Source organism: Homo sapiens, chromosome 20, assembly GCF_000001405.40.
Source record: "Homo sapiens chromosome 20, GRCh38.p14 Primary Assembly".
Lineage (NCBI taxonomy): Eukaryota > Metazoa > Chordata > Mammalia > Primates > Hominidae > Homo > Homo sapiens.
The window spans coordinates 32,366,263-32,390,016 of record NC_000020.11 but is presented as its reverse complement, the minus strand read 5'-3'; the positions used below and the strand labels follow the sequence as shown (position 1 = coordinate 32,390,016).

The 23,754-nt window shown below is 41.4% G+C and overlaps 1 protein-coding gene across 14 annotated transcripts in view, besides 1 other annotated feature; it reads right to left on the bottom strand.

The window, feature by feature from the left end:
- Nucleotides 1–23,754, bottom strand: part of ASXL1 (ASXL transcriptional regulator 1) — an 80,989-nt gene that overhangs the window by 49,303 nt on the left and 7,932 nt on the right. For 9 of the 14 annotated variants that reach the window (NM_015338.6, XM_047439942.1, XM_047439944.1 and 6 more), the window contains 3 exons: nucleotides 23,551–23,633; nucleotides 22,288–22,290; nucleotides 20,894–21,002 (listed from right to left, as the gene is read on the bottom strand). In NM_015338.6, the coding sequence (NP_056153.2) occupies nucleotides 20,894–21,002; nucleotides 22,288–22,290; nucleotides 23,551–23,633 (195 nt within the window). Of the gene's footprint in view, nucleotides 1–17,467; nucleotides 17,854–20,893; nucleotides 21,003–22,287; nucleotides 22,291–23,550; nucleotides 23,634–23,754 lie in introns of those variants that run through there. The other 5 variants (XM_006723727.4, XM_047439945.1, XM_011528648.4 and 2 more) reach the window with 2 other exon arrangements.
- Nucleotides 20,668–20,777: an enhancer, noted in NCBI's record as "active region_17716". NCBI's record gives its function as "activates an Ori minimal core promoter by ATAC-STARR-seq in GM12878 lymphoblastoid cells {active_cell/tissue: GM12878}" and the evidence as "EXISTENCE:reporter gene assay evidence [ECO:0000049][PMID:35858748]".

Sequence of the window (23,754 nt, the reverse complement as noted above, 5' to 3'; positions counted from 1 at the left end):
TCTGTACTAGGATAATTGCATTCAAGCCATATATGGCATATATTTAAATAGCACTGTTAAAATACCAAATATAACTTTAAAACAAATTTGAACTAAAGAAATCAAACTCTCACAAAGCTGTATACTTGTACACTAAAAAGGGTGAATTTGGCTGGGCGTGGTGGCTCATACCTCTAATCCCAACACTTGGGGAGGCCAAGGTGGGTGGATCACCTGAGGTAAGGAGTTTGAGACCAGCCTGGCCAACATGGTGAAACCCTGTCTCTACAAAATTAGCCTGGCAGGCACCTGTAATCCCAACTACTTGTGAGGCTGAGGCAGGAGAATCGCTTGAACCCAGTAAGTAAAGGTTGCAGTGAGCCGAGATTGTGCCACTGCACTCCAGCCTGGACAACAGAGCGAGACTCTGTTTCAGAAAAAGAAAAAGGCGGGGCAGGGGGGCGGTGGTAAATTTTACTGTACGTAAATTATGCCATAAACTGAGAGGGAAAAAAAACAAAAACAAGATACTATTATACACTCACAATACTCAGTCCCATTCCCAGCAACATATACACCCCAGAGAAGTGAATGCACACATGCATCAGGAGACACATACACAAGCACTAAATGCAGCTGTTTGTTACAGCAAGAACCAGAAACAACCCAAATACATGCTAAGAACAGGTAAATCATATGGCACGTTGATAGCATAAGATGATACACAGCAGAAAATATGAAGTATTTCTATAAATGCACCAACATAGATCAAGCTCAGAAATGAGAGGCAAAAGCAGCAAATCAGAGAAAATACATCCACCAGTATGATTTCATTGACATAAAAATATATTTTAAAGCAGGAAAAATTATTATTTAGGACTTAAACTTCAGTAACACATGTGGGTTAAAAGCAAAAGAATCATTAATATGAAAAATCTGAATAGAGGTTTCTAAAGCAGTGAGGGAAAGGAAAATGCTCAGAGGCTCCAAAAGGGTGTATACTCTAGAGGGGTGGGGGAAAATAAATAAATAAAATAGAGTGTAAAAGATGTTTTGTTTGACGATGGTTGGATGTGGGGGCGTGCAATTTATTTTTAGCTATTATTCTTTAAAGGAACACAAACTCTGTATATACATATTTTAAAATAAATTATATATTTCATAACAAGGAAAGTAAAAACAATATATTCCCACAATAAAAACATACATGCCCAGGTCTTATAGGCATGATCTACCAAAAAGAATGAATAATCACTATCTTAAAGAGACTACTACTGAGAATCAAGAGAGGAAAAACAGCACAGCTTGTTTTGATAATAAAACTGGAAAAGGCCTGAAATTAGAATGTAACACTTGTAAATACAGATGCAAAAATTCTCAATAATTTATAACCTAAATCCAGCAATGTATATTTAAAAGGAAAATCATGTTGAAGTACCATTTATCCTAGGAATGCAAGGATGCTTGAGCACTGGAAAAAAAGAATCTATTAACATAACTCACTATATTACCAAATTAAAGGAAATAAAATACATCTCTTTACCCAAAGGAATAAAAAATTTGGCCAAGCATGGTGGCTGACGCCTGTAATCCCAACACTTTGGGAGGCTGAGGCGGGCAGATGACCTGAGGTCAGGAGTTCGAGACCAGCCTGGCCAACATGGTGAAACTCCATCTCTACTAAAAAATACAAAAATTAGCCAGGCATGGTGGTGCATGCCTGCAGCCCCAGCTACTCGGGAGGCTGAGGCAGGAGAATTGCTTAAGCCTGGAAGACAGAGGTTGCAGTGAGCCAAGATCAAGCCACCGCATTCCAGCTGGGGTGACAGAGCAAGACTCTGTCTCAAAATAAATAAATAAATAAATAAAATATATCTTCGGTGTTGAGGAAGGTGGCAAGAATGGAAGGAAGGAGACCAGTTAGGAAGCTACTAAAATAACCTAAGAGATGAAGGTGGCTTAAACCACTCTGGTGGCAGAGAGAGTGATAAAATGAGATATATTCTGAAGATAGAGCCAACAGGATTTATTCGTGATTACATGTGCCACAAGAGCAAAGGGACAGACTCCAAAATTGATGACTCCCAGGTTTCTGATTTAAGCAACTTAAAAAATGGAGTTCCCACTAATTTATACAGCCAACACAAGGGTGGAACAGGTTGGTTTTGCACATGTTAATTTTGAGATGCCATTAGATATCCGAATAGAGATACTGAGGAGGTAACTGAATATATGAGTCTGACGTTCAAAAGGAATATCCAGGATGGGGATATAACTTGGAAGTCATCAATGACAGAGAAACAAATGGAGAAGCAAAGAGAATAGTTAGCAAAGCAAAGGAAGATGAGATCTAAGCGTTGCAGAGGGAGATGCTGAAAAGAACCAAGCAGATTCATCCCCTGAACTGCAGACAGGCTAAGAGCTTAAACCAGACAAGGATGGAGTATGGAGTGGAAAACATGGGGATTATTTAAAGTGTGCATCAGGAGATAGACATCTCTACTTCAGAACCATGCATCGAAGTAAAAACCACTTCCCCACTTCTGTAAGAGACAAGTGAAGTCACAAAACCACAATGCACTGAATTCGCCAGTAGTATTTAAGAGCCTGACTCTCAAGCATCACACCTCAATCAAGGATCAGCAGGCATCTGAGTAAGGCTATGATGTGAAAGAAACAGGGCATGACAAATAGAAAAGCCTGGGCTGGATATTATATACATAATATTAAATTTTTTATGTATTTTATTTATATTTTGAGACAGGGTCTTGCTCTGTCTCAGTCTCGGCTCACTGAAACCTGTCTCCCAGTTCCAGTGATTCTCGTACCTCAGCCTCCTGAGTAACTGGGATTATGGGGGTGCACAACCATGCCCAGTTAATTTTTGTTTTTTTGTTTTTTTAGTAGAAGGGGTTTCACCATGTTGGCCAGGCTGGTTTTGAACTCCTGACCTCAAGTGTTCCTCCCACCTCAGCCTCACAAAGTGCATGAGCCACTGCACCTGGCTTAAATTTTTCATTTGCATTATGAAATGTTTCTAACATAAAGTTAAATACTGACAGTATCAGAACAAACAGCTAGTTACGCACCAGCTGGAAAAACTGTAAAATCATTTCCCAGACCTGAGACACATGAGTTGCTAGACCTAATAGCACAAAGGGCGAGAAAAGACCCACATCAAGGTACATAATCGTGGAAAAAAAGATCCTAAAAACTTTCGGGGAGAGGTAGCAAAAAAAAAAAAAAAAGAGAGAGAGAGGTCATACACAAAAGATCAGGAATCAATATGGCATTTGATTTCGATTTCAGAAGTAACAATGGGCCGGGCACGGTGGCTCTCATCTGTAATCCCAGCACTTTGGGAGGCCAAGGCTGGCAGATCACTTGAGGCCAGGAGCTTGAGACCAGCCTGGTCAACATGGCGAAACCCCATCTCTAATAATTATACAAAAAACAGCTGGGCATGGTGGCACACACCTGTAATCCCAGCTATTCCAGTGGCTAAGGCATGAGAATTACTTAAACTCGGGAGGTGGAGGTTGCAGTGAGCCGGGATCATGCCACTGCACTCCAGCCTGGGCAACAGAACAAGACTCTGTCTCAAAAAAAAAAGTAACCCCAAATATGACTGTTTTCTTTTGAGAAAAAAAAAAACTTACACTTTGGAGGTTTTCAAACATTCCATTCCATGAGAAAAAGATCTTGCTAATAAACATTCCATACTACACATCTCCTTGTTGACACTAAAAATTACTATTGTAAACCAATTCAACTGTTGGCACTGAGAACTGCTGCCACAGCACCTCTTCTATGTGTTTTTCCACTGCCTTTATTCAACAAACATTTATTGAATACCTACCATAAGAGCTCCTAGGGATATAAACAAGAACAAAATAATACAGATTCTCTGCCCCTAAGGCCCAGTCAGGAGAGACACATCAAACAATCACCCAAATAATTATAAACTTGTGATAACAAGTAAGGTTTGGACACAGGAAAATCCAATTTAGAGATAAATGAAGGATCCTCTTAAGAACTGAGGTAAGTTGTCAGCTCTTGAAACCTGTGGCCAGGAAAAAGTGGAGGAGAAAGAGTTCAAAATGGGAAATCCTGAAACTGGAAAAAGCTTAAGGAATTCAAATTACTGAAAGAAGGGCAGTGTGGCCAAACAAGGTTTGGATTTTTCTGCAACTGCCATGGGAAACCATGGATAAGTATCAAACATAGATCTGTTATAATCAAATTATGTTTTGAAAAAAATCCCTCTGGCCACTGGATTAAAAGGAGCAAAGCACTGGATCGTAAGGGGGCGAAGTGAAAGTAAGTAGACCAGGCAGAAGCTATTTCAGTATCCAGCATAACGGGATAATTTAGGATAGGGTGGTGGCAATGGAAATGAAGACTAAAAAAAAAAAGTTGAAGTTTTAGAAGTAGAATTGTCAGGACAGATAACTTTCCAAAGAAAACCAGCTCAAAGAGTCATCTGTATTTCAAAAAAGAAGACTAAAACAAAATAATTAGCTAATGCATTTAAGAAGTATCATACAAGCAAAGCCCATTTAGCACCACTGCATCAAAAAAGACAGCATCATTCAGAAGAAATTATACATATTTTTGCTCCCTACTCCTCTCATGATGTACAAATTAATTAAGCTATTCCTCCAGATCCTTGAGCATGCTTCTCAAACATTTGAGAACTGACTCATTTAGCTGAAGCTTCAAAGTTCCTAACCTGTCCTCTCTGTATTAAAAACAAATCTCTGAACCAAAAGTGTTACTTTGTACAATTTACTTAAACTCTCACAGGCAATTTCCTCATTATTATAGGACTTGGAAACATATTTATGCTTCAAAAGGACCAATATAAGGAGTATAACGTCTGTCTGGAATACAGTTAGCACTCAAACATCAGGTTCCATTTTTTCTTCCAGATTTAGCTAAGCTAGAAGCAACTTTCTTAGACTAAACAAATTCTTCAACTAACTCTCCCCAAAAGCCTGATCTGAAGGATTGAGATCAAATGCAGTTTTCATACTGGCTGACCCAAAGAAAAGTTTTTTTTTTTTCAAATGCAGTCCCAAGGAAGCCTAGAGTATGTACAATCTTCTCATTTTCCCAGAACCCTCATGCTTTAAAATCAAACTTAATAGAAACATTTATAACCTTCTTGTTCCAAAAAAAAATACATCTTTAGCACCTCTGAAGTAAGCATCCTGCCCACTCTGCTAGGCTACCACAAAATCGTCCCAGTGCTGGTGCTTTTCAAACTACTGCTACTTGACCTTTACCACTTCATTTTCACAGGGCTCTGAACTTCAGGAGGTAGAAGGACAAAAGGCAGTTCATCCCTTGGGCATAAAACCAGACTCTGACCAGGGCCCTGAAAACAATCAAGTTCTCTCTTCTCCCAGAGCTAGCTAGGAATACTGACAACGGAATACCCCTTCTTTTGAAGACAGATCGAGATGTCCTTTGGGAATTAGTCAAAGAAGGAACCTTTTACCAAATGAGGGGTCAAAGCCTCCTTTAAAACCAGATTGCTGGCCGGGCACGGTGGCTCACACCTGTAATCCTAGCACTTTGGGAGGCCGAAGCAAGTGGATCACTTGAGGTTAGGAGTTTAAGACCAGCCTGGGGGTGAAACCCCATCTCTATTAAAAATACAGAATTAGCCGGGCATGGTGGCACACACCTGCAATCCCACTTGGGAGGCCAAGGCAGGAGAATCGCTTGAACCCAGGAGGCGGAGGTTGCAGTGAGCAAAGATCACACCACTGCACTCCAGCCTGAGCAACACAGCAAGACTCTGTCTCAAAAAAAAAAAAAAAAAAAAAAAAAACAGACTGCTGCTACAATTGACCAAAGCAAATGGTACTGCTCTACTAACTAGGCTTTCTGAGCAGACCTCCTATAGTACACAGTGGAACAAGGTTTGCAACAAAACAGGCAGCCTCCAGTAAATACCAAATGCCTCACAAAATAGGAAAGAAAAATATCCACAGCTGACTTACTCTTCACACACAACAATCTAAAAAGGCTAGAACGTGAGTATCAGAAGGTCTGTACTGGTTTTTAGCCCAAGAGATTTTCAACAGAGCTCTGGGATGGAGGAAAGATGCCTTAGGAGATCAGGATGTCAGACAGTGATGGTGGAGCCCACGAGAGATGGAGAAACTGAGCCCTCATGCTTGTTTCAAAAGCAGTTTCAGAGTCATCCACTTATATTCTGCAGTTCCATTTCATGGGATACTAGCGTTTTACACCCACAGTTTTTAAACAACCAATTATACCTCTTCAGTGTTAGAGACAAGTGGAGATACCAAGTAATACATGAGGTGCTATGCTGTACCTCAGTCCTTGACTCCTATTCCAGTGCTCTTAGTACCACCATATATCACTCAATCTGGCACAGAAAAGAAAACCAACAACTGGCCGGGTGCAGTGGCTCACGCCTGTAATCCCAGCACTTGTGGGAGGCCGAGGCGGGAGGATCACAAGGTCAGGAGATGGAGACCATCCTGGCAAACACAGTGAAACCCCGTCTCTATTAAAAATACAAAAAAATTAGCCGGGCATGGTGGCGGGCGCCTATAGTCCCAGCTACTCAGGAGGCTGAGGCAGGAGAATGGCGTGAACCCGGGAGGCAGAGCTTGCAGTGAGCCGAGATCGCGCCACTGCACTCTAGCCTGGGCGACAGAGACAGACTCCGTCTCAAAAGAAAAAAAAAAAAGAAAACCAACAACTATAAATGCCAATATAATGGAGAGTACAAAAACTCCAGCCTAAGGAACAGGTTCACATTTAAGGATATGAAAGGCTACTTTCACCTAACAAGAACTTTCATTGAAGAGAATAAAACTGACATTTTGAGAAATATCAAGGAACTTACAAGATCCTTCAAAAGATGAAGTGGCCAAAGGTCAGAAAACCAAGAGAAAAAATTTTATTCTAAATTGGCATAATGAAAAGAAATCAAATCAAAGATTGGGTCCTGGGTTCTAACCTCAACTCAGCCATATGCAATTATCATATAGATGTATGGTATAAATCCTTTCATCTATCAGAAGTTTAGTTTTTATCTGTAAAATGACAGTAAATTAGATAACTTGAGAGCTCCTCCCTCACTAAAATTCTAGGATTCCAAGCATTAAAAATCACATATATTTGATGAGATTCACACAGACTACATAAGTTATTATCTAAAATGTTGCTACCATTCATTTTTAAATGAATGCAAAAATTCATTTTTTTTGAGACAGGGTCTTACTCTGTTGCCCAGGCTGGAGTGCAGTGGCACAATCACAGCTCACTGCAGTCGCAACTTCCCAGGCTCAAGCAATCCTTCCATCTCAGCCTCCTGAGTAGCTGGGAACACAGGCATGAGCCACCACGCCTGGCTAACAGGTTTTGTTTTTTTTTTTTTTTTTTTGTAGAGACGAGGTCTCCATATGTTGCCCAGGCTGGTACCAAACTCCTGGGCTCAAGTGACTTCCTGACGACTCAGCCTCCAAAATGCTGGGATTACAGGTATGAGGCACAGTGCCTGGCCTCTTTTTTCTAACAAGATGATCAAAGTTCAAAACTCTAACAGGAATAATATATCTAAAAACCACCTAGAATGTTTAAACTGTTCCTAAGGGTTCAGTTTTTTCCTTCAGCAATTACAACGAACCAGATTATGGCCACACCCTGAGAAAGGTTTATTTCTAACGTCAGCAGATTATTCCACAGATTTATGTAGAACTGCTCTAAAGAGGGCAAGAGGCCGGGTGCGCTGGCTCACACCTGTAATCCCAGGACTTCGGGAGGTCAAGGCGGGTGGATCACCTGAGGACGAGAATTCAAGACCAGCCTGACCAACATGGAAAAACACTGTCTCTAGTAAAAAATAAAAATAAAAAATAAAAAATAAAAATAGCCAGGCCTGGTGGCCTCATGCCTGTAATCCCAGCTACTCGGGAGGCTGGGGCAGGAGAATCACTTGAACCCGGGAAGTGGAGGTTGCCGTTAGCTGAGATCGCGCCATTGCACTCCAGCCTGGGCAACAAAACCAAAATTCTGTCTCAAAAAAAAAAAAAAAAGGCAAGAAAAAAAAGATTCTTCAAAGTTAACTTGCTGAGCAGAAGAAAAATAACCTAAAAAGAAAGCACATTCTATAACAAAAACTGATATAAAAGCAAGGTGAGATACAAGAATTAACAAGTTTAAGATTTTGATAAGAGGCGGCCAGGCGCGGTAGCTCATGCCTGTAATCCCAGCACTTTGGGAGGCCGAGGTGGGTGGATCACGAGGTCAAAAGATCGAGACCATCCTGGCCAACATGGTGAAACCCCGTCTCTACTAAAAATATAAAAAATTAGCCGGGCGTGGTAGCAGGCGCCTGTAGTCCCAGCTACTCAGGAGGCTGAGGCAGGAGAATGGTGTGAACCCGGGAGGCGGAGCTTGCAGTGAGCCGAGATCCCGCCACTGCACTCCAGCCTGGGCGACACAGCGAGACTCCGTCTCAAAAAAAAAAAAAAAAAAAGATTTTGGTAAGAGGCTGGACCAGTGGCTCACACCTATAATCTCAGCATTTTGGGAGGCTGAGGCAGGTGGATCACTTGAGCCCAGGAGTTTGACACCATTCTGGGCAACACAGTAAGACCTCTTCTCTACAAATAAAAAAATTGGCCAGGCATGGTGACACACACCTGTGGTCCCAGCTTCTCAGGAGGCTGAGGTGGGAGGATCATTTGAGTCCAAGAAGTCAAGGCTGCAGTGAGCCGTGATGGCACCACTGCACTCAGCCTAAATAACAGAGGGAAATCTTGTCTCAAAAAAAAGGACTTTGGTAATGTTCTCTTCTACTACTTCTACTACCGAAGCCAGCTTTTTTGGTTGCATGCAGCCAATATTTATTAGCACCTATTATGTGCAAGAAGTTACCGCAGAATTTTCCAGGTAAATGAGCTAGCAAATGCAAGGGCCCTAAAGTATACCCAAGATTGGGGTGTTTGAGAAATAGGTTGAAGGCCAGAATGGCTGAAACACAATGAATAATGACCAGTTAGAATGTGCTAGGAGAACCATTCGAGAAGTAGGCAAAGGCCAAGCAGAAAAGTGACATGATGTGACTTGCATTTTTCAAAAGGACCACTTTGCTTGCTACACACCTATGAAAAGTCAAAAATGCCTTTCAAATGATAAGCTCCATGATTTTGTTGTATCTAAATCTAAGCTTACTCCAGTCATTCTTTTCTTGGTATTTAATGGTAAGTAAATCATTTGGGTTTTTTTTGTTTCTTTGTTCGTTGAGACAGGGTCTCAATTAGTCGCCCAGGATAGAGTCTAGTGGCTTGATGTCAGCTGCAGCCTCAACCTCCTGGGCTCAAGCAATCCTCTCACGTCAGCTCCCCCAGTACCTCCAACTACAGATGCAGGCTACCACACCTGGCTAATTTTATTTCTTGTAGAGACAAAAGTTTCGCTATGTTGCCCAGGCTGGTCTCGAATTCCAGGGCTCAAGCAATTCTCCCACCTTGGGCTCCCAAAGTACTGGGATTACAGGCGTAAGACACCACACCTGGCAATAAGGCATTTGCAAATTGCTATTAAATGTGGAATTGTACACAAAAATTTTAATTGTAATTATTTAACATTGTAAAAATGAAGTAATTATCTCACTCTCTTCCTCCACTGCTTTTTCCTTTATTTGTAAACTATGGATTTAAATGGAAGATATTTTAAATGTAGTCATCTATTTCTTTTTTTTATGGGAGGGACGGAGTCTCCTTCTTGTCGCCCAGGCTACAGTGCAGTTGCGCAATAGGCTCATTGCAATCTCCGCCTCCCGGGTTCAAGGGATTCTCCTGCCTCAGCCTCCCAAGTGGCTGGGATTACAGGCGGCCGCCACCACGCCCAGCTAATTTTTGTATTTTTAGTAGAGATGGAGTTTCACTGTGTTGGCCAGGCTGGTCTTGAACTCCTGACCTCAGGTGATCTGCCCGCCTCAGCCTACCAAAGTGCTGGGATTACAGGGGTGAGCCACCATGCCCAGCCATCCATTTCTTTTATTAAGTTTTTTTATACTTTTAAAAAATATTCTAAACAGGAAAAGGGTTCAACTGAACTTAACTGAAAAAAGACCCTGATGCTGAACCATATATCATCACATGAAGTATAATAAAGTACAAATAGCCATAACTGACATCTTTTTTATTTTTTTCTTTTTTTGAGACGCAGTCTTGCTCTGTCACCCAGGCTGGAGTGCAATGGCACGATCTCAGCTCACTGCAACCTCTGCCTCCCGGGTTCAAGTGATTCTCCTGCCTCAGCCTCCCTAGTAGCTGGGATTACAGGTGCCCGCCTGTAATCCCAGCTAATTTTCATATTTTTAGTACAGACGGGGTTTCACCAGGTTGGCCAGGCTGGTCTCAAACTCCTGACCTCAGGTGATCCACACACCTCAGCCTCCCAAAGTGCTGGGATTACAGGCGTGACCCACCATGCCTGGCCGTGACATCTTATGTAACAACAAAAGTGAATAATGTTGGCTGGACACAGTGGCTCACACCTGTAATCCCAGCACTTTGGGAGGCCAAGGCAGGTGGATCACATGAAGTCAGGAGTTCAAAGTCAGCCTGACCAACATGGCAAAACTCCATCTCTACTAAAAAATAATAATAATAATAATAATAAATAAATAAATTAGTTGGGCGTGGTGGTCTGCACCTGTAATCCCAGCTACCTGGGAGGCTAAGGCAGAAGAACTGCTTGAACCTAGAAGGTGGAGGTTGCAATGAGCTGAGACTACACCACTGCTCTCCAGCCTGGGTGACAGAAGGAGACTCTGTCTCAAAAAAAAAAAAAAAAAAAAAAAAAAAAAAAAAAAAAAAAAGACTGAAGTTATACCTGACAGTGAGTGCTGGAATCACCATTTATGAACCCAATTTATTTATCTGTGTGTGTGTGTGTGTGAGAGACAGAGTCTCACTCTGTCTCTGGGTTCAAGTGATTCTCCTGCCTCAGCCTCCCGAGTAGCTGGGACTACAGGCGTTCACCACCACACCTGGCTAGGTTTTTTTTTTATTTTTAATAGAGACAGGGCTTCGCCGTGTTAGCCAGGCTGGTCTCGAACTCCTGACCTCAGGTGATCCGCCCGCCTCCGCCTCCCAAAGTGCTGGGATTACAGGCATGAGCCACCGAGCCTGGCCTATTTAACTATATTTAGTTGAGGGTGTTTTTTTTTTGAGACAGGGTAAGCATGAGCCACCATGCCTGGCCTGGACCCTATTTAAACTCAGCAAAGACACAACAACCATTTTATAAAAGCATAGTATTTCAGCATGAAAGTCCTAAGAATGTACAACACTACAAGGGAGTTCACAGTGATCTTATGACAACAGGAAATTCCAAGTGTAAAAAAACAATACAAATCCTACCTCTAACCGGGCAATAATCAACACTGACACATGACTTTAGGAAAAGCTTAAGAAAAAAGAATTCAAATCAAGAACTCAAAGTAGAGATAATTTTCACCTATCCCACCACTGAGGACTAGCTCCAAGCACTGATGCAAGCATCTGTAAATAAACTGTCAAATGTACAGGCTGAGCATCCCTAATCCAAAACTCCAAGGAGCTCCACAATCTGAAACCTTTGGAGTGCCAACCTGACGCCAAAAATGGAAATTTCTACACCTGACCTCACGTGATGGGTTGCCATCAAAACACAGTCAAAGGCTGGGCATGGTGGTTCACGCCTATAATCCTAGCACTTTGGGAGGTCAAGGTGGGCAGATGGCTTGAGCCCAAGAGGTCAAGAGCCAGGCTGGGCAACATGGCAAAGCCCCATCTCTATTAAAACACACACACACACACACACACACACACACACACACAAATTACTCAGCCACAGTGGCACGCACCTGTAGTCCCAACTACCTGGGAGGCTAAAGTGGGAGGATCATTTGAGCCCAGGAAGCTAAGGTTGCAGTGAGCTGTGATCATGCCACTGCACTCCAGCCTGGGCGACAGAGTGAGACTCTGTCTCCAAAACACACACACACACACACACACACACACACAGAGTCAAAACTTTATTTTGGGGCCAGGTGCGGTGGTTCACACCTGTAATCCCAGGACTTTGGGAGGCTGAGGCAGGCAGATCACTTCAGGTCAGGGGTTTGAGACCAGCCTGGCCAACATGGTGAAACCCCATCTCTACTAAAAATACAAAAATTTGCCGGGCATGGTGCCTCATGTCTGTAATCCCAGCTACGCAGGAGGCTGAGGTAAGAGAATCGCTTGGACCTGGGAGGCGGAGGTTGCAGTGAGCCAAGACCATGCCATTGCACTCCAGCCTGGGCGACAGAGTGAGACTCCGTCTCAAAAAAAAAAGAAAACAAACAACTTTGTTTCATGCATATAAGATAAATATGAAACACAAATGAATTCTGTGTTTAGACTTGGGCCCCATCCTCAAGGTACCTTACTATGTATGTGGTAAATATTCCAAGATGCTAAAAATTCTCAAATCCAAAACACTTCATGTCTCAAGCATTTCAGATAAAGGATACTCAACCTGTACCATCACATTACCCAGAAAAACTTTTATCAAAGAAGAAACCCTTTGTCATGCCCAAAAAATCTCCAGCAAATCAGTAAACCTGACAATCATAGGTAAGTCCACACAAATGTTTCCAGAACCAAAAAATAAAATAAAAAATTGCAATTATTTTCAAATAGTAAAACCACGTAGATAAAATATAATTCTGGCCAGGCACGTGGCTCACGCCTGTAATCCCAGCACTTTGCGAGGCTAAGGTGGGTGGATCACCTGACGTCAGGTGATATAATATACATAGATATATCTATAATATATTATATATAATATATTTATAGATATCTGTATAATATATAATATATATTATATTAATATATCTATTAATATATTATATATAATATAGATATCTATATAACATTATATATAATATATAATAGACATATTATATCTGTTGTATATTATATCACCTGACCTCAGGTGATCCACCCACCTTAGCCTCCCAAAGTGCTGGGATTACAGGCATGAGCCACGTGCCTGGCCAGAATTATATTTTATCTACGTGGTTTTACTATTTGAAAATAATTGCAATTTTTTATTTTTATTTTATAAATATAAAATATATAACATATAATTATATATTATATATCTATCATGATATTTATATAATATATAATATATAAAATACATTATATATATCATGATAGATATATAATATATAATATACAAAATTCTGACCCTAATGTCCCACCAGATGAGATTTCCAAGTACGGAGGAGAAAAAACTTAACAAGCCATTCTGCACGTAAGCTTATCCTTAACACATAAGGGAGAACAGGCAAAGAAAATGCCAAAAGATTTCAAAGGTGTCACTACTACCTTTAAAAGGAAAACAGAGAAATGTGAGTTAAATAACTGGTGTCAGCTGGGTGTGGTGGCTCACGCCTGTAATCCCAACACTTTGGGGGGCTGCGGTGGGTGGATCACCTGAGGTAAGGAGTTCAAGACCAGCCTGGCCAACATGGTAAAACCCTGTCTCTACTAAAAATACAAAAAATTAGTCGGGTGTGGTGGCTCACGCATATAATCCCAGCTACTCAAGAGGCTGAGGCAGGAGGATCACTTCAACCCGGGAGGCAGAGGTTACAGTGAGCCGAGATTGCGCCACTGCACTCCAGCCTGGGTGATACAGTGAGACTCCATCTCAAAGATAACACAACACAACACAAAATAAAATTAAAATAAAATAAAATAAAATAAAAATAAAATAAAATAACTGGTGTCTTCCTGTCCATTATCATAGGCAAGACACTCACCAAACTAGCCCTTGGTCGACCACTATGCAAAACTTCCCACCACTTTCATCCTTTGCTGCTGAATCCTTTGGACAACCTGGAACAGTAGACATGACTACTGTCTGGCATTACTACATTAGTACTGGCAGTAAAACATAAAGGATTCCGGAAATAACGAAGATTTCTACATTTTTATTAGTCCTTAAAAAATGTACTTAACTGCCAGGCCTGGTGGCTCACACCTATAAATCCCAGCACTTTGGGAGGCTGAGGTGGGAGGATTGCTTCGAGTCCAGGAGTTCAAGACCAGCCTGGGCAACATGACAAAACCCCATCTCTATTAAAAATACAAAAATTAGCTAGGCGTGGTGTCACGCACCTCTAATTCCAGTTATTTAGGAAGCTGAGGCACAAGATTGCTTGAGCACAGGAGGCAGAGGTTGCAGTAAGCCGTGATCATGCCACTGCACTCCAGCCTGGGCAACGGAGCCAGGCCCTGTCTCAAAAAACAAAACAAAACAAAACAAAAAAAACAAACTACTTACTTCTATACAACAACTAGTCTGGATTGTTCAAAAATATCATGATTGGATACAGGATTTTAGGCCACAAAGAATAATTTTGAAATGAGAGAAAAATTTGAATATGGACTATGTATTATACACAATCATATCAATGTTAAGTTTCTTGAGTGTGATAACGGCATTGTGGTTATATAGGAAAATGTCTTTGTTCTTTTTTTCTTTTTTTTTTTTGAGACCAAGTCTTGCTCTGTCACCCAGGCTACAGTGCAGTGGTGCCATCTCGGCTCACTGCAGCCTCTGCCTCCTGGGTTCAAGTGATTCTCCAGCCTCAGCCTCCCGAGTAGCTGGGATTACAGGTGCACGCCACCACACCCAGCTAATTTTTTGTATTTTTAGTAGTAACGGGGTTTTGCCGCGAACTCCTGACCTAAGGTGATCCGCCCGACTCAGCCTCCCAAACTGCTGGGATTACAGGCGTGAGCCACTGCGCCGGGCTATGTCTTTGTTCTTAAGACATACTATCTAAAGTGCTCAGAGGTGGCTGGGCACGGTGGCTTATGCCTGTAATCCCAGCACTTTGGGAGGCCAAGGCAGGCCTTGAGGTCAGGAGTTCGAGACCAGCCTGACCAACATGGCAAAACGCTGACCAGATATGTCCCCTCGACCTTGGCCTCCATAGCTGTAAGAAATAAATTAATTTTCTTTATAAATTACTCACTTTTGGATATTCTAAGTAATGGAAAATGGACTAAGACTATGGTACTGCCTCAATTTTTCTATAGGTTTGAAATTTTTCAAAATAAATAAACGTAAAGTAAAAATATATATATATGTATTTAACACCACCTTGGATTAGGGTGTTTATTGGACAGACCTGAGTTCTCAAGTGACCAAGATGGTAATCAGCTGGTTCAGATCTTTGATATCCTTTCTCATCCATTCCTGAGTAACAATAAACTAAATGCCTGCACAACTTCTGGGAGAAGTGTGGTGTTGATGAGGCATATAACAAGAGACTAGTTAGTAATCACACATTCATGGCTGGAAATCTGGAATTCTTAAAACAGCCTTCAAAAAGAATAAGGGGCCGGGCACCGTGGCTCACACCTGTAATCCCAGCACTTCGGGAGGCTGAAGCAGAGGATTGCTTGAGGCCAGGAGTTTGAGACTAGCCTGAGGAACAAAATGAGACCCCCTCCATCTCTATAAAAAAAATTTTTTTTAATTAGGTGCAGTGGTGCATGCCTGTGGTCCCAGCTACTGGGGAGGCTGACAGGAAGATTCCTTAAGCCCAGGCGCTCAAGGTTGTAGTGAGCTATGATGGTGCCACTGCACCATCTAGCTTTAAGCCACAGAGCGAGACCCTGTATCTAAAAATAAAAAACTGGGTGAGCACAGTGGCTCATGCCTATAATCCCAGCACTTTGGGAAGCCAAGATGGGAGGATTGCTTGAGCTCAGGAATTCAAGACTAGTGAATTCCCACCTCAACAAAAACTACAAAAATTAGCTGGGTGTGGTGGCATGCGCCTGTAGTCCCAGCTACTAGGGAAGCTGGAAGGATTGCTTGAGCCCAGGAAGTCAAGGGTGCAGTGAGCCATGATTGTACCACTGAACTCCAGCCTGGATGACAAAGCGAGACTCTGTCTCAAAAAATAAATAAATACACACATATATATACACATATATAAGACATGTCTATATATAACACCATGGCAAGTGGTTCAAAATATATTAACTGAATGAAAGAAGCAATGATGAAATTTTTTCAAATATTAATTATTTAGGTTACAGGTATCTGAATTTTTTTTTCTTTTTCTTAAGAGTCTCTGTCACCCAGGCTAGAGTGCAGTGGTGCAATCTTGGCTCACTGCAACCTCTGCCTCCCGGGTTCAAGCAATTCTCCAGCCTCAGCCTCCCCAAGTACCTGGAATTACAGGCACCCACCACCATGCCCAGCTAATTTTCGCATTTTCAGTAGAGACAGGGTTTCACCATGTTGGCCAGGCTGGTCTCGAACTCCTGACCTCAAGTGATCCACCCACCGCAACCTCCCAAAGTGCTGGGATTACAGGCATGAGCCATCGCAGCTGGCCACAGGTAGAATTTTATGGATTACTTTCATTTTCTCTGTTGCATTTACGTATATTGCTTTTATAATAGGTCAAAAAAATTAAGGCACACACATAATTAACCAAGCTAAAATTTACCAAACCCAGAGGTAAGCATCCTTCATTCTGGCTCTGAGATATGAGCTAGATGCCAGATGCAAATCTAGGGACAATTTCATCAAAACTGTTCTTGAGATGGAGCTTCACTCTTGTTGCCCAGGCTGGAGTGCAATGGCACGATCTCAGCTCACTGCAACCTCCATCTCCCGGGTTAAAGTGATTCTCCTGCCTCAGCCTCTTGGGTAGCTAGGATTACAGGCGTGCACAACCACGCCCGGCTAATTTTTGTATTTTTCGTAGAGACGGGGTTTCGCCATGTTGGCCAGGCTGGTCTTGAACTCCTGACCTCAAGTGATTCACCCACCTCGGCCTCCCAAAGTGCTGGGATTACAGGCGTGAGCCACTGCGCCCAGCCCATCAAAATTATGAACAAGGACACACGAGGTGGCTCATGCATGTAAACCCAACACTTTGGGAGGCTGAGGTGGGTGGATCGCTTGAGTCCAAAAGTTCAAGACCAGCCTGGGCAACAAAGCGAGACTGTCTCTACCAAAAAAAAAAAAAGAAAAAGAAAATCATAAACAGTATTTATCATCAAATGTCAAAAGAATAATGAAGGCTGGGCGCGGTGGCTCACACCTGTAATCCCAGCACTCTGGGAGGCCGAGGCAGACGGATCACGAGGTCAAGAGTTCAAGACCAGCCTGGCCAACATAGTAAAATCCCATCTCTACTAAAAATACAAAAATTGGCCAGGTATGGTGGTGCACGCCTGTAGTCCTAGCTACTCGGGAGGCTGAGGCAGGAGAATCACTTCAGCCTGGGCGGTGGAGGTTGCAGTGAGCCAAGATCACACCACTGCACTCCAGCGTGGGTTACAGAGCAAGACTCTGTCTCAGAAAAAAAAAATAAATAAATAATAACGAAGTACAAAAATGTAGCCATTATTCACTAAATTCGTTCATTAAATATATATTTATTGAAGGCAACTATGTACCTAGTACTGTGGGTAATTAATAAAATACAGACTCTGCTCTCAAGGAGTTTACAGTCTAACTAGAGGAACCAACCAAGCAAACCATTAATCCATTAAAAGAGCACAACGAATATCAGAGAAGTGATGCCTATGGATGTAAAAGGCCAATGAACAAGATACTATGAAGGATAAGCAACATAAAGCCAAAGGCAGTTAAGATGAGGTACTGAGCAAATATTCAATTAGCACATCTCAGACACAAGCTGTAGACTAACAGACCACTCCCAAGCTTACAGCAGGTTCATACAATGGTGTTTATTCAAAGATATATTAAAATTAAGATGAAGGGGCCTGGTGCAGTGGCTCACACCTGTAAAATTAAGATGAAGAAATATAATTCAGTTCACACATAAAGCACGTACTATGCCAAGAATTCTGCCCAGAGCCAAATTACAAACACAAATAAAACTCAGTTCCTGCCCTTAAGGTACTCATAGAAAAAAGTAATTATCCTTCCTTTTAAAAACAGAATATACCATTAACAGGCATATTTGTAATAAACATATATGTATTAAATAATTATAACTATATATAATTACAGCATATGTAACAATAAGCTATATATGAGATAATAGAGGGCCAGGTATGGTTGCTCACACCTGTAATCCATCCCAGTGCTTTGTGAAGCTGTGGTGGGAAGATCACTTGAGGCCAGGAGTTTGAGACCAGTTTAACCAACATAGCAAGACTTCATCTCTAGGAAAAAATTTAAAAATTAGCTGGGGTGATGGTGTACGCTACTCGGGAGGCTGAGGTGGGACTACTGCTTGAGCCCAGGAGTTCAAGGCTACGGTGAGCTATGATTATACTACTGCACTCCAGCTGTGGACAACAGTGTGAGACCCTGTTTCTAAAAATATAAATTAATATTAAATTAAAAAATAATAGGCCAGGTGCAGTGGCCCACGTCTGTAATCCTGGCAGTTTGGGAGGCCAAAGCCAGTGGATCGCTTGACCCCAGGAGCTCGAGACCAGCCTGGGCAACATGGCAAAACTCCTTCTCCACAAAAAATACAAAAAATTAGCCAGGCATAGTGGTATGCGCCTGAAGTCCTAGCTACTCAGAAGGCTGAGGTGGGAGGATCACTTGAGCCTAGTAGGTCAAGGCTGCAGTGAGCTGTGACTATGATACTGCACTCCAGCCCAGGTGACAGAACAAGACCCTATCTCAAAAAATAGATAATATTAATAGAAAAATGCCATTAACAGGCAATTAAGAATGATAAACCTCAGATCATCATAAAGGCTATCATTTATTAAGGACTGACTCAATGCCAGGGATGCATATTCCACCAAAAAGAAGGGTTAAATCCCTCCCAGGTTACAAAGCTAAGTTTTTGTTTTGAGACAGGGTCTTGCTATGTGGCCCAGGCTGGAGAGCAGTGGTGTGATCACAGCTCACTGCAGCCTCCATCTCCAAGCTACCCTCCTGCTTCAGCCTCCTGAGTAGCTAAGACTATAAGCACACACACCACCACGCAAGGCTTTTTTTTTTTTTTTTTTTTTTTAATAGAGACAAGGTCTCATACTCCTGAGTTTAAGCAATCCTCCCGCCTTAGCCTCCCAAAGTGCTGGGATTACAGGCATGAGCCACCACAGCCGACCACAAAGCTAGGTTTTGGGCTCAGTGGCTCTGTCTCTTCCAAGGCTCGATTACAAGAAAAGCATACAAAACTGAAAGGAAAAAGACCAAACTATTGGATATAAAAAAATATAGAAAACAGCACAGACATCTGACCCCAAGATAAACTTTATTTATATATAAAGACCAAGTTTTATGGCTTCATGTTATATAGTTGGTATTTGTTCAGGTATTTATTTTGAATACAGTCCATCAAGAAAACAAAACTTAAAGGAAAAAGTTTGTACTGACTGCTAAAATTTATAACCCACTATGGAAGAACGAAAGGGTCAGCATCAAATTTTCAGTTTCTCCAATGTCGACAAGTCATCTTATGTCTAAATCAGGGGTCGACAAAGTACAGCCCCAAATCAAATCTGGCCTGCAGCCTGTTTTCGTAAGTAAAACAAACATTTGTAAATAAATTTTTTTTTTTTTTGGAACACAGCCATGCCCATTCATTTGGGTATGGCTGCTTTCCTACTACAATGGCAGACCTGAGTGGTTAAGACAAAGACAGTATGATCCACAAAACAAAAAAACATTGATTTTCTGGTCCTTTACAGAAAAACTTTGCAGACCCCCGGTCTAAATGATTACCATATATATCACAAATGGTGGAAAAATAATTAGCCTGTTCATTTCGGCCCTATTTAAGCTTTATTATGAACTCTACCTGATTTAAGTACTCTTACTTTATAATTACTGTCACTTAATTTCCACAAATATGTTCACATTTCAGTTATTTTCCATAGAGTAGGTCTTACATTAGCTGACCAGTAATTTATCCTTCACATCATTACTACAACAAAATCCTAATTAAGGCACATCTGTGGCCAGGTGCAGTGGCTCACGCCTGTAATCCCAGCACTTTGGGAGGCTAAGGCGGACGGATCACAAGGTCAGGAGTTCAAGACGAGCCTGGCCAACATGGTGAAACCCCGTCTCTACTAAAAATACAAAAATTACCTGGGCATGGTAGTGCACTCTTAGCTACTCAGGAGGCTGAGGCAGAAGAATTGCTTGAACCTGGGAGGTGGAGGGTGCAATGAGCTGAGATCGCACCACTGCACTCCAGCCTGGGCAACAGAGTGAGACTCCATCTCAGAATAAAAAAAAAAAAAAAAAAAAAAAGGCACATCTGCAATTATCCCCATAGTTATGCTTCAGTTTTGTACAATCTACAAAGATATAGACAAGAAAAGATGAACACACAAACAAGAGCTGCTATGACTAAATAATTTCTAATATCTGATTCATATTAGAACACCTCAAAGTGCCATTTAGAACCAACAGCATCTGGCCAGGTGCGGTGGCTCATGCCTGTAATCCCAGCACTTTGGGAGGCCGAGGTAGGTGGATCACCTGAGGTCAGGATTTCGAGACCAGCCTGGCCAACATGGTGAAACCCCGTCTCTATTAAAAAAAATAAAAAAATTAGCCGAGCATGGTGGCATGTGCCTGTAGTCCCAGCTACTTGGGAGGTTGAGGTGGGAGAATCACTTGAACATGGGAGGCAGAGATTGCAGTGAGCCGAGATCTCGCCCCATTGCACTCCAGCCTGGGTGACACAGCGAGACTATGTCTAAAAAAAAGAAAAACATCAGTGTCACCTGACTGCATATGAGAAATGCAAATTCATGGCCCCTATTCCAGACCTACCAGGTGATTTTTATGCACATTAAAAGTCCAAGAATCACTGCACCAAAAGAGAGTTCATATCACTTACCTTGAGCGTGAAAAGGCTGATTCGGCCAGGCAGTTTATAAAACAACCCCTCTCCTCCTCTTGAATTGGAATGTAGCATAGCATTGAGGCATGCGAGAGGGGAAGTCCCACTGTAAAACCACAAAAGAATGGATGAGGGTTATACAATCCATCTGCCTACTTAAAGACCTAATCCCTCCAACTCATTCTTAAATGAGAAGAAGCTAAGCAAGAAATACAGAAGAAAAAATCTCATGACAATTTCACTGTGAAAATAGTAAAAGAATAACCAAATGAAATTCACATAAATCACACTCAGAAAACTCTGGAATAAACATTATGTGATACCCGAAATCCATAACTAACACTTCTTCAGTGCTTTTTGACAATATAAATCAAATTTCCAAGAAATTTAGAAAAACCTCACAATTTTTTCAAGTTATATTTTAATAAGTTAATAAATTTTTAGTAAAATTTTACTATTAAAAGTTTCCTAGCCTCTATATTTCAATCTACATATCATACTCAGAAACTGCCACAGAATACTATGACAAAGAATCACAGAATCAATGGTGCTGTGCCAATAAAACAAGCAGAACTTTTTTTCCAGTTAAACATTTTCTAGTAAGTACACAAAAAGAACAGTATTTCATTTGTTTTTTCTCTGCTGGAAGTGGGGAGATTGAGTTTTATTCTGTATCTACCCAGGAACAATTATTTAAACCTAAATGCAAAAAGTAAGTCAAGTGGATTTAGTTCCCAGTAATGCTTAAAAAATAAACTGAAACAATGGCATACTAAGTTGTTTCATGGTCCCTGCCACAACAGCAGGTTACAAAACGTGACAATTCAGTGCAAAGGATGCTACTTACTGAATCTTTAAATAGAAAAGCTACCAAAAATATCAACAAATGACCATTATTAATATTAACTGAGTTTGGCACTAGCATATTAGTGCTAGGAGTCACCTGTGCACCCTCTCTTCCCTCTCCCCAGCATGTTAAAAAATATATAAATAGCTTAAGTAAGCCTCTTTGCATTTTTCAGAACTAGAAGCCCTAATTTATGCAGTGTTAAAAATAAATTCTGAGTCTAAAAAAACCATTAAAAAACTATTACTTATTTTGCCTTGGAACACACTGGATGCTAAAAAATTTTTCACCAAGAACCAATCTCTAAAAGAAACCCTATGCAAAATCTGGAGTATCAAGTGGGTGTGCTAGCATCTCTGCTACAAGGGGAACAGCATGCTGGCACAGCTCTTCTGTGACTCCTACATATTATACCTCTGTCTACAAATTACAGAGCTGCTCACTCATCATGAGCCATCATGACTGCTTCATAATTCCTCTAAGAACAAGAAGCAGAAACAAGTTAAGGTTCTCAATTCCATATGTCCCAAAGGGACTCATTTACCTTCTATAGGCAAAGTGGTCCAACAGCAGTGCAGACAGCAGCATGATGGGAAATAGCCCATAAAAACAAAAATAAAGCACAATTATAACACTACACAGTGGATAAGTACAAGTCAAATAAATGTGATGTAGACAATCTCAATCTTCCCTCCCCACAAAACATCAACTTGAGAACGTTTGAACTGACAACTGGAAAGTGAAGGCCTTTTGACCCTAAAAGGTCAATTAAAGCAGCTAAGTTTGACTAGCAAAAACATGAAGTTTGCTCTGAGTCCCAGGCAAGGACTGTGTAGTGCTCTCCTCTTTCCTCATTTAAGTACTTTCTTTGTTTTTTGTTTTGTTTTGTTTTTTGAGATGCAGTCTTATTCTGTTGTCCAGGCTGGAGTGCAGTGGTGCAATCTCGGCTCACTGCAACCTCCGTCTCCTGAGTTCAAGCGATTCTCCAGCCTCCGCCTCCCAAGCTGGAACTACAGGCTACAGGCATGCGTCACCATGCCGGCTAATCTTTGTATTGTTAGTAGAGACGGGGTTTTGCCATGTTGGCCAGGCTGGTCTCGAACTCCTGACCTAAGTGATCTGCCTGCCTTGGCCTCCCAAAGTGCTGGGATTACAGGCATGGGCCACTACCCCCAGCTTTTTTTTTTTTTTTTTTTAAGTTTGAAGTTAGGATGAGGAAAAAGAAAGATGAAAGATAGTCCTGGCTTTCAAGCCTGCAAATTCTATGTTTCTAACTTGTTACTTCTCCAGGAAAACTACACCATAAATTTGGAAAATAAAGGTCACCTCAAAATTTAGTAAATTCACATCATATATGACTGCAATTAGTAAGGGGAAAAAAGTCAGTGGTTTTTTATGTTGATGAGACCACTGTTCTTTTATTCTAAAAGAAAGAACTTCAGTGATACGGCATAGAGAAAAGGGTAGCGTTAGGCACAATAGAGGCTATCAGGTCTGAAACTTCCAAAACAGCACAAGAGAAAATGTGCCCTGACTCCTTACACAAAAAACAAGCTCTATGCCAAGATTTAAGGAAGAACAAGGAGATGGGGAAAGCCACTGCACCTCTAAATGAAAACAAATGGATGTTCACCCACTGCCACCCTCCACTGAGACGACACACAATTTGGGAAATGGATAGTTCCATCTCACTACCAGACACAGAAGCACAAATACATACACAGGTGTACTTACTCATATCACTACAACTACAGAAAGACACATATCCTATGAAACCCTCATGTTAAGCAACAAGAACAATACAAACCTCATTTCCTTTAGTCCTTCTGCCTCTATGACCTGCAGAATCTGTTTTGGTGTCATTGGAGCATCCGAGTAGTTTTCTAATACCTGAAGAAATATAAACGTCCTAATTTCAGTGTGCAATTTCCATTTATATCCATCCATCCATATATCATGGGCTAAAGTTATGCTATGAGGTACCGCTGGTGACAACTTAGTTTTTCCACAG